Here is an 18743-nt window from a genome sequence, read left to right on the forward strand (position 1 = left end):
CAACTGCAATTACTCTTCTGTGTGTGTGTTGGGGCTGGTGAGGGAGCAGAATACAAACAAAAGCAAAAACTACAAAATAAGGCATGAGATCTAACTCAACAATAGCATTTGTAGAAGGCAAATAGAAGGTGAAAACTTAAGCACTTTAGTAAACGGTTAAGTTAAAGGAAATGAAAGTGTGAAATGGCTGGGGGGGAAACATAAATTATAAACATGCAATAAAACAGAAAACTGAGAACTAGACAGGAAAGAGTGCTGCTCTCCTATGCAGTAGAGTGTTAGTGCTTTCAGTTCTAGGTTCCACCTTTATAAATGCATAAACAAACTCAAACAGATTCTTAGAAAATGACCAAGATGGTAAATGGATATCATTATTAGATGGTTTTCTAGGGATTCTCAGCCTAGAGAACTGAAATGTCAGAGAGAACTTGGTAAGTCTTCAAATAATTGAAAAGTTATCACAAGGAAAAAGGATTACATTTGTCCAATATATCCTCCAAGGAATGTAACTAAAGCCAGTAAGCAGAAGCAGCCAAACAGGTTTTGGCTTAAAATAGAGATAGGCTTTTTTTTTTTAAAATAATCAGAGGCCTCCCAAAGGCAGAATAAACTGCCTGAGGGTTCTCCTTCATTAGAATGGTTTCAAGCATAGGCTGAACAGCTCTTGGCAAATAAGCACTGGACTGGATAGTAAATCCCACACAAGTATCAATGAGTAAAATCATTAGGTTTAAATCTGTTCATAAGATACTGTGCAAATATATGAAATATAAAATAACACATTAGTCTGTTCAATTACTGATCTACATATATTAGTAATAGAAAAGCATTTTTTAAAAATTACACTGTAGATAAAATACACACTACAAAAGATCTGAAACATATTAATAGTTACTAAGAGAGAGAATATACATACAAATATATGTCTCACTAGATCAATGGCTCATTTCTGTCAGGGAATCTTTCATCTTCATATAAAGTTTGATGAATAAAATAAGAAAATAAGTATGTTGGGTTTAGTGATTATCGTCCAAATATCGCATTCATTATTCAAGAAAATTTTAAAAGCACCTACTCTGTCACTGTTCTAGATCCTGAAAATACAACTTTTAGAAACATCACTGTTGCCACGGAATTTACATTGGGGGGTGGGGGGAACCAATATGCATATTACACAAACATACGTTTATAGTATGTATTGTCATGTAGACACGTGCTCTGAGGAAAAATCCAGGTTGAAAAGATAAAGTGTAAAGGAGGAGAAAGGAAGAAAGGTAAGGAGAAAGAAAACAGAAAAGATAAAACAAGTATTATTTAAGATCATCAAGGAAGGACTCTGTTGAAGGGACATTTAAACAGGGATCTGAATTTAGATAGGAATGGAAATGGAATGCAAATATGCTTTATGGCTATCCGGAAAAGAAAAAATTTTAAAAAGCCCAGGCCAAGGGAACCCATCAGAAAGAGCCTAAGGCCTACTTGACCTTCTTGACACATATGAGGGACAGGAGTCCAGTGAAATGGAGCAAAGTGAGCATTCACGAACACTGGGGTTTCCAATTTTAATTCTCCAAGGATTTCAAATTAACTGCTTCAGTGAGCTTTGGCAAATTAAATTTCCAAATCACTATGAAGTCATTCACATCAATGATTTTAAAGGCATAAAAATAAAACTTTGTCAATTCCTGAATATACTGTGTTAAGGATACAGCTAATAAAGTTTTTTTTTTTTTTTTCTTTTCATTTCATTTTTTTAGAGACAAAGTCTTGCTGTTACCCAGGCTGGAGGGCGGTGGTGCAATCATGGTTCATTGAAACCTTGAACTCCTGCCAAGAGATCCTCCCACCGCTGCCTCCCCAGTAGCTAGGACTACAGGTGCACACAACTACACCTGGCTAATTTTTGTTTGGGTGTACAAATAGGGTCTTGCTCTGTTGACCAGGCTGGTTTCGAACTCCTGGCCTCAAGTGATCCTTCTTCCTCGGCCTCCCAAAGTGTTGGGATTTACAGGTGAGAGCAATAGTGCCCAGCTGGCATCTTTGTTTTTAAAAACAGTTCAGTTGGAGACTTCCAGCTTCATGCATACCCTTTAAAAGCATAGAAGTGACCATCTAAGAAGGTCATTCTCTTCCAACTATATCTGGGGTGGAGAGGGAAGTACACACACTAAAGTTACAGAAGCCAAATTAATACAGAAAATCAAATGTTATAATAAAATATCTTTAAAAACTAAATATTCTTAACAAGAAACAAATCACCTCTGGAAATAAAGGTTGTACTAATCCCCCAACACACCCATAGTGTGTTTTAGTTTTTCAGATTTTCAAAACAGTAATGAGACCGTAAAGAAAGCTATAATACTCCAATACAATATTTCAAAAAGTTTGTTTTGCACGAGTTTCTTGGAGACTTTAGAAATTCAGTAGAATATAACTCACGGAATTTAACCCAAGCTTCCATGTTCAGTAATCTTGAAAAGAAGCTGGAGGTGGTAGTGGGAATTAAAAATTAAATTTAAATATGTTAACTGAGTAACTTTAGAACACGGATATGCACCCACGTCTGTTCTTTCCAAATTTTCATTTTATATTCAGGAAAAATATCTAATTTGCATCAAAGTCATGATTTTATATTCTGTACTTAGAATTACTCTTTTAAAAATCCAAATTTCATTGCAGCAAGCATAATACATACATTGAAAATTTTAATTGTAGTTTATTACATGCTTCACTTAATTCAAACAAGAAAGCAAAAATAGATTACTTATATACAGTAATTAGTTACAGCAAAGACTACTCATTAAGAGTTATTATACACCCAGTTCATTCTACAAAATAAAATCAAAATATAAGCATATCTAAATATGATCCATCCTTGAGCATCACACAATCTATTAATACTTCTTCATCACTGCAAAATGTATCACAATACATGTAATTATAACACTGAAAACTATTGGCCAGTTCTTTTATTCCCCCACATCATTCCAAGAAATAGCATGATTCCATCTTACTTTTAGAACAGTGGTTCTCAAACTTTTTGGTATCAGGAGCCCTCTATGCTTTAAAAATAGGAACCACTCCAAACAGCTTTTTATTTAAAAGAGTTATATCAATATTTATCAAGAATTAAAATTGAGAAAAAATTTAGTTTAGTTTGATATAATAAATCCATTAAAACTAGCATAAAAACTCTCTATATTTGTTTGAGTAATCAGAAGAAGAATTTATGTGCAAACAAACAGGAAGCCCATATGTGGGGCTGGCTTTTTTTCTGAATCCAGGAGTTCAAATCATATCACCAGGACTCTCTATTCTGCATTTTTCACTTTCAGAAATGCTCTCTATGTGTGGCAAAAATGATGGCCCCCAAGCAGTTCCCAGCTTACATTATTCTAACAGCTAGTGAAACCAGAAAAAGGAGGCTACTCTTCTCTCCCCCAGCATCCGTACTGGCCTCTGAAAATGACTCATCTTCCCCATTTAGGTCATATCCCCACTGCAGGTCAGGGATAGGCAGAGCTCTATGATAAATAGCCTCACCTGAAATTAAATACCATATTTTTAAAATTAAAAAAAAAAACACAAAAACTATTTTTCCAAAATAAAATACAAATTTTCTGAGAAGAGTGACCAAGTTTTACACTTTTTGCAAATACCTTTGTTTGGCTTAATAGAAGACAGGCCGATTCTTACATCTGTTTTTACATTCAGTCTGTTATGACATGTTATACTGGTTGAAGTACATGAAGAAAACCTGACCTGACACAGATACATAGTTGGAAAAACAAGGACCTCATAGACACCATGAAAGGCTCTCAGGAAATTCCAGGAATCCTGATATCACACTTGAGAACCATAGCTTTAGAAGTTACATAACTTCTAAATTAAATAAAAAAAAAAAAAGAAGTGCCCATTAAGTGTCAAAGACCCAATAGTCAGATAACAAAACCAAAGTAAAAGTTTGTACTGTTCAGTGCAAACAGCAGCAGCCCAAATGACAAATTAAGCCCAGATAGTTGTGGTTATAATTATGGTTATACATCAAGCCACAGAACTCTCTCTTTAAAAAAAAAAAAAAAAAAAAGGTGTATCTGCAATATGGTAACCCATGACTAACCTTCATATTTAGGGTTTTTTTTTTTTTAATTCCTATTCATAGTTGAGGAAGAATTGAGTTATCTGAGAAAAGACTGGTTCTAGAGGCCACCCCCACTCCATTACTCACATTCTGTCTAGTTAACAACAGATCTCAGGTAACCCATCCCTCTGGTTACTAAAATGAGAGAGCAGAGGCTAGTGAACATTTTCTTTTAAAACCAAAAAGGCAAAATTATCCAAAAGAAATAGCACTAAAACTAGAAATACAAAAAACCTAGTTCTATCATCCTGTTGGATAAATTTGGCTGAGTCGATTAAGCCTTTAACCTTTTTCTCATATTTCTTTAAAAGGTCTGGCTAATGCTGTGTGGTTATATATGTTAGAGATTCACTTCTAAGTCTTTCTCTAACATTGCTACCAAAATTTTCTGATACGGTTACCACAGTCATGCCAAAATTTATCTTTAAAAATGAGAAATTATTATGGACACTTTTCCGGTCATGAATCTTAAGACTAAGCAAACTAAGCTTCAGTTTTTTCATCTAACAGCTGACTTGCCAAACTAGAAATAATTACAAATAAATATAATTACAAATAAGACACACTTTATTAACCTGCCAAGCACCCTAACAATCGTTAAGGGATTACTAAATAATGAACTATGATAAAAAAAAATGCCTATAATCACCCCTAAAAATATACTTTAGTTAAATTCTGGTTGCTATATTTTAAGTCCTATATTACCTTTCAAACCTACTTTGTCCCAAGCCAAATTGTTAGCCTTTCCATGAAGCAGTCTGGTATTGAAGAAAAGCACTGAACTGTACTCCAAAAAACAATTTTCAGATTTCCAGTCTGGTGTTATTTCTGCTTTATTCACTAGTTATATAATCCTGCGTTAGCATTTTATTTCTCTAGGCTTTAGTTTACTCATTTAAAAAAAAAAAAAAGGCACTGAACCATACGATCTGAAAAAGTGGGTCATTTTTGTGAAAAAATATTTGGCTTTCACCACCTTGCGCTCTTTCTCCCTTCCCATTCCAGTAACTTTTAGTTAACTGAATTTCAAAATAATTTAGTACATAGCATTAGAATCTTCAAGAGAATTTTTTTTCTTTATGTCTTTCTAAAGAGTCACAGAATCCCATTTCCTCAGCACTCATGACCAAATTTTGAGCCCTTAGAAGGCATAAATAAATTCTACTTAATAGAAACATTTTGTGTATTTCTCCTAAATTGCCAGACCTATATAATTTCTGTACATTGTTTCTACCACTGTTACATAGCAACTACTGGTATGTTTGACTGTTTCTCCCATTGGTATTACAGATAACTATGCCTGCCTTTTCCCTAGAACAAATCACAATGTATTGAGAAGGAGCTTCTAATTACCAACATTATAGCAATCTAAATTCAGGCATTTCACAACTCACTCTTAAACTAGACTAAGAAATAGCTAACTAGTCTTCCTTTGTCTTCAAAACGTTTTATCTAATCAAACCTCTACATGCCATAAACTGGAATGCAGTGGCGATCTCAGCTGACTGCAACCTCCGCCTCCCGGGTTCAAGCAATTCTCCTGCCTCAGCCTCCCCAGTAGCTGGGATTACAGGCATGTACCACCACGTCTGGCTAATTTTTGTATTTTAAGTAGAGATGGGGTTTCACCATGGTGGCCAGGCTGGTCTCGAACTTCTGACCTCAGGTGATCCACCCACTTGGGCCTCCCAAAGTGCTGGGACTATAGGCGTGAGCCACCTCGCCCAGCAAGCAACATTCTTAAAAAGAGACTGGATCAAGTAACTCCTGTTTTAACCTTCCCCACATCTCATAATATAGCTCCAAAATTGTCCAATCACTTCAGTATAGCAATAAAACTTTCTCTACATCTGAAACCCACAGAGGCTAGGTGGATTCAAGAGCCTTTTCCTAATCACAATGTATACTCACGATTCCTCCAAACTTCATGTATTCTCACAGAACTTAACTGTTCCTCCAATTTGGCTGTTTAATGTCATCACAGGCATCCAAACTTAACATGATTCAATTTAGGTAAGTGCATTAACAACTTTAGAGACTGGTAACTGCAAGTTTATAAAGCAGTTTTCAAAAATAAGTTCTACCTATTTCAGTCTGCTTGCTACTATAAAAAATTAAACTTTTTAAAAAGGTAAGATAAGCACTTGAGATCATTAAAGAAAGTAATAGTAACAAATAAGAAACGTCACAATGACAATTTCTTACAAAATATGTCCAAAAAAGATCACAAGTTACAGGCCTCAAAGTACCTGTTATTGCATTTATAACTATTACAAGGAGCAACAAATAAACGACCGGCTGAAGTATATATTAATGCTATGTGGAATCTATAATCATTCAAACACTTTTCATTTATAAGTGACTTCATTTAAGATTTTATAAATTTTTTTATCAACTTTTAAATTGCCTGTAAAATGGAAAATAAATAATTGCAGAATGTATGGAGCAGAGATATACAGAACTCAAAAGTAGGCTAGAATTTACACTGACACACTATCTCCCGTAACTTCTTTTAAAATGGCTCTTTGAAACAAAAAACAAAATGAGGAACTACTTATAATGCAATACATAACATCATAAAACAAGTTCCTCTGAAGTACTAGATTTAAACCAAGAAAGTATACTTAATACTAAGAAAGCCTCCAACAGCAGCATTAGCTGACTTCTAGAAAATAACTTCTACTAATGAGAATAAAGCAAACATACACATAGAGGAAGATGTTCATTGCAGAGTTATTTAAAAAGTCAAAAACAGTGTACTAGTTGCGTTGTTAAAGAAAAAAAGAAACGGGAAAAAAAATAGTTATTTGGAAAGCCAAAGAAAAAAGCAAACAACCTAAATGACAAATAAGAACAGAATGGTTACATAAACTATAGTCTCTCATCCATGTACTAACCAAGCCTAATCCTGCTTGCCTTCCAAGTTAGATGAGATCAGGGGTGTTCAGAGTGGTATGGCCGTAGATGATTTGGTCATGCAAAAACACTGGATTTCAGCCATTGTAACGGCATAAAAACTACATATTAACAGTAAAAGTTCAAGGATGGGAAACGTAAAGAGGATTTTGCTTTTCAAGTCAAAGTCTTTTGGTAAGTTTTCCTTGACTACATACAGGAAGTACTTAAATAATTCAAGAAAATAAGCTTTTTTCCCCTAAAAAGTAATAATTACATCATAAATAAAGCACTATTTAAACAAAGTGCAATACACTCACATAATGGAATTCTATGGAACCACTGGAAAGAATAGGAATCTACCTAACAGTATACTTTTATGGGATGATGTGCAGTGTTACTGGAAATACTAGTTGTAGTAGCAACATATAAATGATTCTATCTATGAAAAAAAGTCATGTATATTCATCAATAGGTGGCACATGCATATTTTTACAGATATATGTTTACAAGTTTATATATGAGAATCAGAAAGGAATAAGAAGACTGATTTTTGGTTTCTATTTCTACACTGTTTAAATTTTTATTAGAACCATCATGTACTATTTTTAATTAGTAAGACTTAAGAAATTGTGTCAAATTAACAATAATGAGAGCATTATTATTGTTAACTACTGTATATACCATGATTCTGACAACAGAATACTACTCAGCAATACAAAGAAGCAAACTACAGATATATGCAATAATATGGATAAATCTCAGGCACATTAAAGCCTTGCTCAAAATAATACTCTGATTCCACTGACAGAAAAGTTCTACAACAGGTAATACTAATATATAGTGTAAAAAAGGCAGAACACTGCTTTCTTCTAGAGGTAGGTGGGGGCATGGGAAAAGAAATGAGTAAATTTTCCAGGGCAAGGGTAATGTTATCTTAACAGGTGACTGGGTTACAAAAATGTATACACTTGTAAAAACTATAAAATGGTACACTTAAGATCTGTGCACTTGATTGTATCTGTATTCTAAAATTAAAATAAAACTAAAGTACTGAAGTAAAGCATGGTATGCATGCTTTAGGGGTAAGTGCACTGACATCTGCGATTTACTCTGAAATGAACCAAAGGATAATAGTGACAAGCACACTAAAATGTTAATGGTAGAATCTCAATGACGGGTATGTCACTGTAAAATTCTTTCAACTTTTCTGTATATTCAAAATTTTCAAAATAAAGTTGTAGGGCAAGGGCAGTCAAGGAAAACCAGGCAGGAAAATTCTAAAAATGAACATTATTGACAGAGGACTAGCCTTTCATCACCAAAAATAAGAGAATAGTGTAAAAGATATAGATCAATATATAAAAAGTCTAGAATAAACCCAAATACACATAAGAACTTAGTATCTATTTAAGGTTGCATCTCAAATCCCTGGGAAAACATGGATTATGCAGTCAAGTTTTATAGAGATAACTTTGTGTGCATCTGAATAAAAATACATAAATAAGGCTATATCCATACTTCATACCTGGATTTTCTTTAAAAATAAGATCATAAAGGACATGGATGATACTACTTGAGAAAATACAGTGACTGGTTTCCATTTTGCCTCACTGACTTCTCGTGGTAAGTCACAGTATGATTTGTAGCACGCATATAGTCAATTAGAGTTCATTAATTGACTGGTAACCCAATTAGTATGCTGGCATACAGTAAGCACAACTAGTGATAGCTTTCGCTATAATATCACTGGCAGTAACTTCATCTCAAAATAGGGAAAGTTTTTCTGACTATGACTACAATAGAAAATCCAAACCCCATGAAATAAAGGATAAATTCAACTACATAAAATGAAGCATTTCTTTTTGTGTGTGTGTTTTTTTGAGACAGTCTTGTTCTGTAGCTCAGGCTGGAGTGCGGTGGCGCCATCTAGCGTCACTGCAACCACCACCTCCTGGGTTCAAGCAATTCTCCTGCTTCAGCTTCCCCTGTAGCTGGGATTACAGGCGCCCACCACAACACCAGGCTGATTTTTATATTTTTAGTAGAGACATGGTTTCACCATGTTGGCCAGGCTGGTCTCGAACTCTTGAACTCAAATGATCCACCCACCTCAGCCTCCCAAAGTGCTGGGATTACAGGCGTGAGCCACCGCACCCAGCCGAAGCATTTCTATATTAGAAAAATTACCATAAGCAGAATCAAAACATAAATGTCAGTATGGGAAAGAGAAAGTTGCAGATCATATCACAATTTCCCTAATACATGAAAAGCTCCTACAAATCAACTTTTTAAGAAACCAACAATGTATCAGAAAAACTAGGGAGTGTATGAACAATCAACAGGAAAAAATATATAATACGTAACACTATATATAATTATATATTATACAAGAATACATAATTATTATATAATTATATATTATGCAATACATTATTATATAATTATATATTATACATTATTATATAATTATATATTATACAATACATTATTATATAATTATGTATTATACAATAATACATAATTATATAATAATGTATTATACAATACATAATTATATAATTATATATTATACAATAATACATAATTATTATATAATTATATATTATACAATAATACATAATTATTATATAATTATATATTATACAATAATACATAATTATTATATAATTATATATTATACAATAATACATAATTATTATATAATTATATATTAATTATATATAAAATATATAATTAATTGTATAACGGTAATATATAATTAGTAATTATATATAATTACATTATATATTATTTATGATGTAACCATTACTTTTTAGGAAAAAAGCTTACTTTCTTAAATTATTAAATTAATCTCTGGAGCATTATATATTATATACAATAATTATGTAAGTATTATGTACTATATATGTAATGGTTACATCATAAATCACATATATTCTAATATATTAGTTATATAATTATATGTTATATATTATATATAAACATAATTAATATGTAAAATATGTTATCCATATATAATTTATATATATTTATATATATAAATAAACATAGGAAAAATTTTTCAACCTAACTTTTATAAAACAAACACACATTAAAACTATGTTAGCCATTCCACCTCGGGCTGGATGTGGAACATCACAAGAGACCACTGCTCTCACCCCAACAAGAAACAAGCCGCTTTAACTACAAAACTGTAGTATTTTTTAAAACCCAACAAGCTTGAGAAGACCAAAAAAAAAAAAAATCTGTAAATGAACTAACTATATTCTAGAAAGTGACAAACTCTTCAGAAGAGCAAAGAAACTCATGTTTACTCTCATTCCTGGTGGAAAGTCAGGAAGAAAAATCTGACTCCATAGATGGAGGTACAGAGAAACCAGCGAAACTTTAAATCATCTTTTAGCAGTCATATACACATGCTGTCGAGAGATTAGAATCAGAAGTACCACAAGCCACAAAGTGAGTCTACAGCCACTCATCAACACTTACTAACCAAAGACTCATGAGTAATTCTGGGAGCAAGGAAGAACTACAAGAGATTACCAAGGAACTACTAGCTTCCAGCTAACAAAGTCTGAGTGTAGAGCACAAGGGCTGAGTGAAACCCCTCTGAGGCATTCTTGGGTGGGTTACCATTCAAAAGACAAGGAAAGGAGCAACAATGCTGAAAAACAGTTCCAAAAGTCATAAAGGCAGGAGGTAGGAGTTAAGAACAAAGATCTCCCCAGCAATTCAAAAACCTGGAACCAGGGGCATCTGATCTCTCAAGCTGCCCACTTGGCCCTCTTCCAAGTGTACTTTACTTCCTTTCATTCTTGCTGTAAAGCATTTTAATAAACATTCACTCCTGCGCTAAAACTTGCCTCAGTTTCTCCTTCTGCCTTATGTCTCCTCGGTCGAATTCTTTCTTCTGAGACAAGAAGTGAGGTTGCTGCAGATCCATATGGATTTGCAGCAGGTAACATACATCAGTTCCGCATGACTTGAGTACATTCCCTACTTGTAAGAGACCTGTACACAGTACCATCTTCGGCTGGAGACATTCAACCCCCATACAGTTTTCTTCTCCCATTCGCTGTCTGGCTTACTAATCAACCCTCAGAACAATTCCTCTTGGTCACAAGTGGCTCTCCTCCCCCCGTATGACCACTGAGATCACCTTGTGGGGGTGGGAAGGACCTTGGGGTCTGCACCGAGTGGACCTGAGGCACTAATGGCCCTCCTGGGCAGGAGGCTCACGAGAATGATAGGGTTAAAGCCTAAAACCGTGCAGTGCTTGGGGTTTCCTGTTTTTTCAACTAAAATCAGCTTTTCTCCAAGAAGCTGCACTGCCTATTCTTTTTGTGTGTGTGTGTTCTGAAATGGCTTTGTGCACGTGCTGGACTGTTCACCTTGGGGGCAAGTCTGCTTCTCTGTTTTCACTCTACATGCCACGTGACTTCTTAAACACACACTTCCTATTATTTGTGCGCCTGCGGCTTTTACTGTGTTTACACAGTAGCAAAGCCGGGATCCCCCGCAGATATCCCCTGAGATTTGTACTTGTTCTTACCCTACCAGCTCAAATGACCTCCAACCTTCCCCTCTGCTGGCACATTGTGGGGACAAACACTAACTGGAACTGCCGCTCTGCTAGCTCCTTACGACTTACCATATGCTTTCCATTCCAGCCCCATGGCTGAGTTTTCTGGTGGCTTTTGAAGCAGTTTGTCAACCTCCATAAAGGCTCACTCTGGCCCTTCAATGATTCCACCTACTTGCTTTTTGAGTTAGCACCCCTTTGGTAGGAAGAGAAATTCTTCTGCCATTTGCGAGTCCTTACCTCAAGCCCTAAGTCCTCTAGAGGTTACTACTTTCTGTCAAGAGGGCAAATAAACGTTGCCCTCTGGAATCAAAGTGCCGTTTTTGGAAGCATATAAAGGCTTTCCATGAGTATTTCTCTTGCTTCCTCCCAACTTCCTTCTGTAGCATCCATTTCTCTATTCCGTGCCTTTCTCAACATGCATCAAGACCTTCAAGGTCATATTTGAACAAAAGGAAGTCCAGCCCCCTTGTAGCAATTAGCTAAATTTTATTTTATTTTTATTTTTGACAGAGTCTCGCTCTGTTGCCCAGGCTGGAGTGCAGTGGCACCAGCTTGGCTCACTGCAACCTCCGCCTCCTGGGTTCAAGCGATTCTCCTGCCTCAACCTCCTGAGTAGCTGGGATTACAGGCACCCATAACAACACCCGGCTAATTTTTGTACTTTTAGTTTGGACGGGGTTTCACCACATTGGCCAGGATGGTCTTGAACCTCTGATGTCAGGTGATCCGTCCACCTTGGCCTCCCAGAGTGCTGGGATTACAGGTGTGAGCCACGGCACCCAGCCCCAAAGGGAAAATTCTCATTCTGCCCTCAAAGCATTTGAAGCCAATGGTGAACTGAATCAAACGAAAGTTGTTACAAAGCCCAGAACCAATCAGACTACAGGGCAACTGACTCAGCCTCCACTCAAGTGGCCTAACAAAAAAAAGGCATGCCCCCTTACTGAAAATAAATCTTATTTACTTCAGTCTCTACAGTCCTTTTACACAAAAGATCTAGCATAAAACCAACTAAAGGGAACACAAAATAGTAAGAAAATGTGATCTACATGAGACGAAACAGTCAATGGAAACATACTCAGAGACTGTCCAGATAATAGATTAGACGGGGACTTCACAATAATGATAAAAATGCTAAAGAATTTACTGGAAAATGTGGACAACATGCATGGAGAGGTGGGGAACTTCAGTGAATACACAGAAACTATTAAAAAGAGCCAAATGGGAAAATCCAGAAATAAAAAATCTGAATCAGAAATAACTCTCCTTCGCAGTCTGGAAACGGTAGAGGAAAAACAATAGTGAACTTGAAAACAGGAAGAGGTTCATATCTATAATCCCAGCACTTTGGGAAGCTGAATTGGGAGGATTACTTGACACCAGAAGTTCAAGACAAGTCTAGTTAATATAGTGAGACCCCATCTCTACAAAAAAAAATAAAAATTAAATTAAAAAATTAGCTGGGTGTGGTGGTGTGTGACTGCCATTCCAGCTACTGAGGCAAAAGAATCCCTTGAGCCCAGGAGGTCCAGTCCGCAATGAGCTATAATCATGCCACTGCACTCCAGCTTGGGCAACAGAGTGAGGCACTGTTTCTAAACAAACAAACAAACAAAAAAATGGAAAATAAAAAGTATCCAAATCAAAAGCAAAGGGACAAAAGTAATTTTTTAAAACATACATGAGATTTTCAGGATAATATCATATAATCTAACATACAAGGAACTAAATATAAAGTCTCAGAAAAAGAGGAAAAAAAAATGGGGCAGAAAAATTTTGAAGACATAGTGACCAATGAACTTTCCAAAACCGATGAAAGACCCAAAACACAGATCCAAATTGGCAAATCTAAGGATAAAACACATAAACACAGACAGACAAGCCTATCATCGTCAAACTGCTGACCAAATAAAAGGAATTGAATCTTAAAGGTAGTCAAAGGGGGAAAACAGACACATTACATTCAGGAGAACAAAGACTCAAATGACAGCAGATTTCTCACCAGAAACAACAGAGGACGGTGGCAATGGAACAATATCATAAAATAACTGAAAGAAAGGTGTAAAACCAACGACCTAGGTTCCACTTTAAGAGGAAAAGGACAGCAAATTAAACCCAAAGTGTTTTAAAAGGGAATCATAAAAATAAAACACTGAAATAGAAAATAGAAAAAAAAGTTAACATTGTTCTTTAATAAGCTGAATAAAACTGAAAAACTAATAGCAAAATTGATTAAGAAAATAAAAGAGCAACCAAAGGTATAATTAAAAAGGGGAAAGGAAGCATCACAATAAATCCTAGTTATTAAACGAATAGTAAGGTTACAATGCAATGTCAATAAATTTGGCAACTTCAGAAAAATCTTTGAATATCATAAATTGTCAAGAGTGACACAAGAAGAAACAGAAATACCTACACAGCCCTATACCTATTAAAGACATTGATTTTATAACCAAAAAATCCTCACAACAAAAATTTCAGTCCCAGATGGCTTCACTGGTGAAGGATCCCAAAAATTTTAAGGAAAAAAAAATAGAACCCTAAATAAATTTTTTCAGAAAAACGGAGGATAGAATACTTCCACTTGTTTTAATATTATCAAATCTACCATAATATAACATGACCAAGCCTGGTTTACCTCAGGAATACAAGATTGGCTTAATATTTGAAAAGCAATCCATGTAATACACCATATTAACAAAAAAACGGGAAAATCTGTATGATCGTCTCAACAGATGGAGAAAAAGAACTGGCCAGGCACAATGGCTCATGCCAGTAATCCTAGCACTGGGAGGCTGAGGCAGGCAGATCACCTGAGGTCAGGAGTTCAGGACCAGCCTGGCCAACATGGTGAAACCCCACCTCTACTAAAAATACGAAAAATTAGCCAAGGGTGGTGGCGCACGCCTGTAGTCCCACCTACTCAGGAGGCTGAGGCCTGAGAATCGTTTGAACCTGGGAGGTGGAGGTTGCAGTGAGTCGAGATTGCACCACTGCACTCCAGCCTGGGTGAGAGAATAAGACTCTGTCTCAAAAAAAAGAAAAAGAAATAAGAAGTTAGCCAAGTTAACAATAACCTTTTATGACAAAAATATTAAGCAAATTAAGAAAAAAATTCTCAATCTGGTAAAAGGCAGTTACTAAAAACCTAGAGCCAATATCAGTAATACTGAAACATTTAATCTCTTTCCCTTTAGACTGGAAACAAGACATGGACGTCCACTCTTACTACTTCAACATTGTACTATTGCTTCTAGCCAGCATGATAAGAAATGAAGGTATATTGGGAGGTTGAGGCAGGCGGATCATGAGGTCAGGAGATCGAGACCATCCTGGCTAACACGATGAAACCCTGTCGTCTCTACTAAAAATGAAAAAAAAAAGTTAGCCGGGTGTGGTGGCACGTGCCTGTAGTCTCAGTTACTCGGAAGACTGAGGCAGGAGAATCGCGTGAACCCGGGAGGTGGAGGCTGCAGTGAGCTGAGATCACGCCACTGCAATCCAGCCTGGGCAACAAACCAGACTCCATCTCAAAAAAAAAAAAAAAAAAAAAAAGAAATGAAGGTATAAAAATCAGAAAATTGTCATTACTCATAGATGATGAGATTGGTAGAAGAAAATTCCACAGAATCTATAAAATAGCTACTAGAATAAGTACACTTGGTAAAATTTCAGAATTCAACGTCAATATACAAATATATTTCTATATACTAACAATAAAAATCAGAAAATCAAAATTTTAAAAGCATTTGTAAAACATGTCGCAGAAAAAAATAACAAAAGAAATGCTTCTACATAGGTAAAATATCTCAAGAAGAATCACTAAGTAACAGATCTTGAACTTACTCCATTATTTAATACACACATAAAAGATACTAATAAAACCCTAAGTTAAAAATAAACTTTTACCTATTTCAAAGTTACTGCATGTAAATTGAAAAGACTTTTTCCACAGAAATAAAGTAGTAGGAGAGTAATGAGTAAGTCTAGTAGGAACAGCTTACCATTCATTCATTTCTCTCATTCATTCTTTTCTCTGGCACAAAGGAAGCAAGAAGAGGGAAAAAAATCTTACAAGCTATTTAGCTCAAGCTTCAGTTAGTCATTCTCAAGCTTAGGTTATGTACATAACTAACATGGGAATATTTTACATTTTGCTCATAATACAGTCCCTATCTCTCAGTTTAAGCATGTAAAATAATTTTGAGAAGCACTGTCAGCCAAAGATAAGGAAGTGCTAAAACATACAGAAAAAAAGTGCTAAATGCATTTTAACCACTCAGCATTCAGATGGAAAGGCCAAATAAGATTGCAGCAGCAAAATGTGATTATGAAAGTCAATTTATCACAAGTTAAGGGGATAAAGAAATAAAGAAAAATGTTTTAACCAATAATTATAGACTATTAACTCTTCTACCAGCTATAAAATTCATCAGGTTAGAATTACTATAATTCTTTTATGTGCAGCTCTATGGAGACAGCAATCTTGCACATAGCAACATTCAATAATACTTTAACAAGTAAATATTAATATACTTCAATGACCTTTCCCTCTCAAAGAAAAAAAAAATCTGAACTTAAGCTTTACCTAAACTGAAGATGCTAGGAGTAAAAATGGAAAGAAGTAGACCCAAAGACTACTTAATCTTCAAATAGCTCACATATCTGCTGTTCTGAAGTTGGGTAGATTCTATAGTTTTACCCAAATTATTGCCTCTTCCCTTGGTTTTAGGTACACAAACTTGAAATTTCAACTAACGCATTTAATAATCAGGTATATACTACACACAAAGCATTGTGCTAGATAATGTATATAATGAACAGGAACATAGTTAAATCTTAAGAGCTGGAGTCTGCTTTCAAGGGCCTGAGACTCTAATAATAAAGCTAAAATAACACGACTAAATAATTTAATGTACAAGTGATGAGTGTCATGACAACTGAAACCAGTGCTGAGAGAGAGGAGTCATGGTGGGAGGAGTCACTTCACCCAGCTGGATAGATCATAGGCAGCTTTCTGGAAGAACTGGAATCACACTTGATCTTTGACTTCAACACAAAGAAAGGATATAAAGACAGTACACCATAATACAACAAGGCTCTGGAATCAAAATGTCTTCTTTTGGATCCTGTCTCCATCACTTACTAGCTATGAATAAAGTATGCTAATTCATCTTCCTAACACCTATCTTGCACACAATGAATGTATAACAATTAACATATATTAATAGTAAGCACTCAATAAATGGTGCCCACTACTAATCTTCAGAAAAAAGAAACAGTAAAGTTTCAGAAAAAAGAAACAATAAAAAAAAATGACAGTGAATCACGAAAGTTCAGCTTTGCTGAAATTAAGACTCATATAAAAAGTAGAAAGATATAAATGGAAAAGATAATTTAAAGCAAATCATTAGCTTTCTTAAAGGCAAGCTAAAAAGTATGCAATTTATTATCTGGGAATGCTGAAGGTTTTGATCAAGCAATGGGATACAAACAAGGCTGGGCATCCATGTCAGAAGAACTGGAAGGGAGAAAGGCCTAGAGATAAAAACAGATTTGTTAGGAAGCAAACTGCAATCATTTAGATACGGAGTGTGAGCCCCCTACTAAGCAATGTCAGTAAGGATTATTAAGAGAGAACCTCATGACTAAGTGAATGGGAGGAAGGAGAAGCCAAAAAATTTCAAGCCAGCATAATTTGGAGAAATGAAATTAAAATAAGTGAATCCAGAAAACACTTCTTTTCAGAAATTAGTTTGAAGTTTAGATGAGCGATCCAAGCAGATATACAGCCAGCAATTAGAGATAAAAGCTTAAGACTGTGAAGAGTGGTTAAGTCTAAACATACTTATGTGAAAATAAATGCAGAGTAGAGGTTCTAGTTTGGAATCCATTAACAAGCTCAGAGTGAAAAGCTCTGAAATTCAATGCAAATGTGTATGTATTTGTAAATCCTAGGGAGACAGTCTTTAATCAGACTTTAAAGGATCTACAATATACACTCCAAAAAAAGTTTTTAAGAACCACTGGCATGTATTACAAAGAAAACCATTCATGGGAAAGGTCTTAGTCCGTTTGTGCTGCTATAACAGAATACCACAAGATGGGTAATTTATAAAGAAATTTATTGGCTCACAGTTCTGGAGGCTGGGAAGTCTCATATCAAGGTACTGGCAGGTTTGGCAATTCTGATTCCAAGATAGACCTTGAACACTGCATCCTCCGGAGTTCCTCCCATGGCAGAAGTCAGAGGTCTCCCATAGCAGAAGTCAGAGGGGCAGAGGCAAAACCTAACCTTTTATAAAGGCATTAATCCAATCAACAAAGGCAGAGCCCTCGTGACCTAATCACCTCTTAATACTTAACGAAATTAAATTTCAACATGAATTCTGGAGAAGACAAACATTCAAATCTTAGCAGTAATTAATGAAATGTCAGAAGTAAAAAATGGATGAAGAAAAAAATGTCAATGTAACAACACTGAAAAATACAATTAGAATCTGAAGAAAAGGAACAAAAGAGGGTAAGACTGACTTAAGAAAAGGAACCAACACATTAGGGATTCAAGGCAAGTAAGTTAAAAAGGTGGCATCAACACTGATGTTATACACGCATAGGGCAAAAAATATAAAACTTCAGGCAATAAATATAAATTGATTGGTAACACTGAGGTAAGTAATTTTGGTTGTAATTATATTACAACGAAGAAATTCTATTCCAAGACATTAAGAAGTAAATGGCTGAGGGCAAATTAACAAAAAATTAAAAGTCTGACTACTACTTCAAGATTTACCAGCGACAGGAACAGAAAGCTAGCAAGAAAGTGACTAGAAGCGTTTTATCTTTTGTTTTGTTTTTTGCTATTATTGCTGAGTTTTTCCTAAAGAATGGGAAATGGACTTACTATGCCAAAAGAAGCCAACTGAAAAGGAAAGGTCAAAGGAATCAAAAATACTCAAAAGTTCAGGAGTAAAAAGATCATTTAGCCAACCCAAAAGAATAACTCTTCCTATCAGACACGAACAAAAATAAATTTTAATGTGGTGAGAAAGGTGTAGTAACAAGTACAGGTGAAGGGGAAAAATACTACAAAAACCACAAAGATGTTTATTTCTTAAA

At 35.2% G+C, this 18743-nt stretch overlaps 1 protein-coding gene and 1 pseudogene across 50 annotated transcripts in view, besides 2 other annotated features; both read right to left on the bottom strand.

The window, feature by feature from the left end:
- RBM26 (RNA binding motif protein 26) overlaps positions 1-18743 on the bottom strand; it is a 94429-nt gene that overhangs the window by 70698 nt on the left and 4988 nt on the right. The gene's annotated exons all lie outside the window — the stretch shown is intronic.
- Positions 7010-7107, bottom strand: RNA5SP33 (RNA, 5S ribosomal pseudogene 33; annotated as a pseudogene).
- Positions 10673-10732: an enhancer, noted in NCBI's record as "active region_7856". NCBI's record gives its function as "activates an Ori minimal core promoter by ATAC-STARR-seq in GM12878 lymphoblastoid cells {active_cell/tissue: GM12878}" and the evidence as "EXISTENCE:reporter gene assay evidence [ECO:0000049][PMID:35858748]".
- Positions 10743-10792: an enhancer, noted in NCBI's record as "active region_7857". NCBI's record gives its function as "activates an Ori minimal core promoter by ATAC-STARR-seq in GM12878 lymphoblastoid cells {active_cell/tissue: GM12878}" and the evidence as "EXISTENCE:reporter gene assay evidence [ECO:0000049][PMID:35858748]".

The sequence above is a fragment of the Homo sapiens genome, chromosome 13 (genome assembly GCF_000001405.40).
Source record: "Homo sapiens chromosome 13, GRCh38.p14 Primary Assembly".
Taxonomy (NCBI): Eukaryota; Metazoa; Chordata; class Mammalia; order Primates; family Hominidae; genus Homo; species Homo sapiens.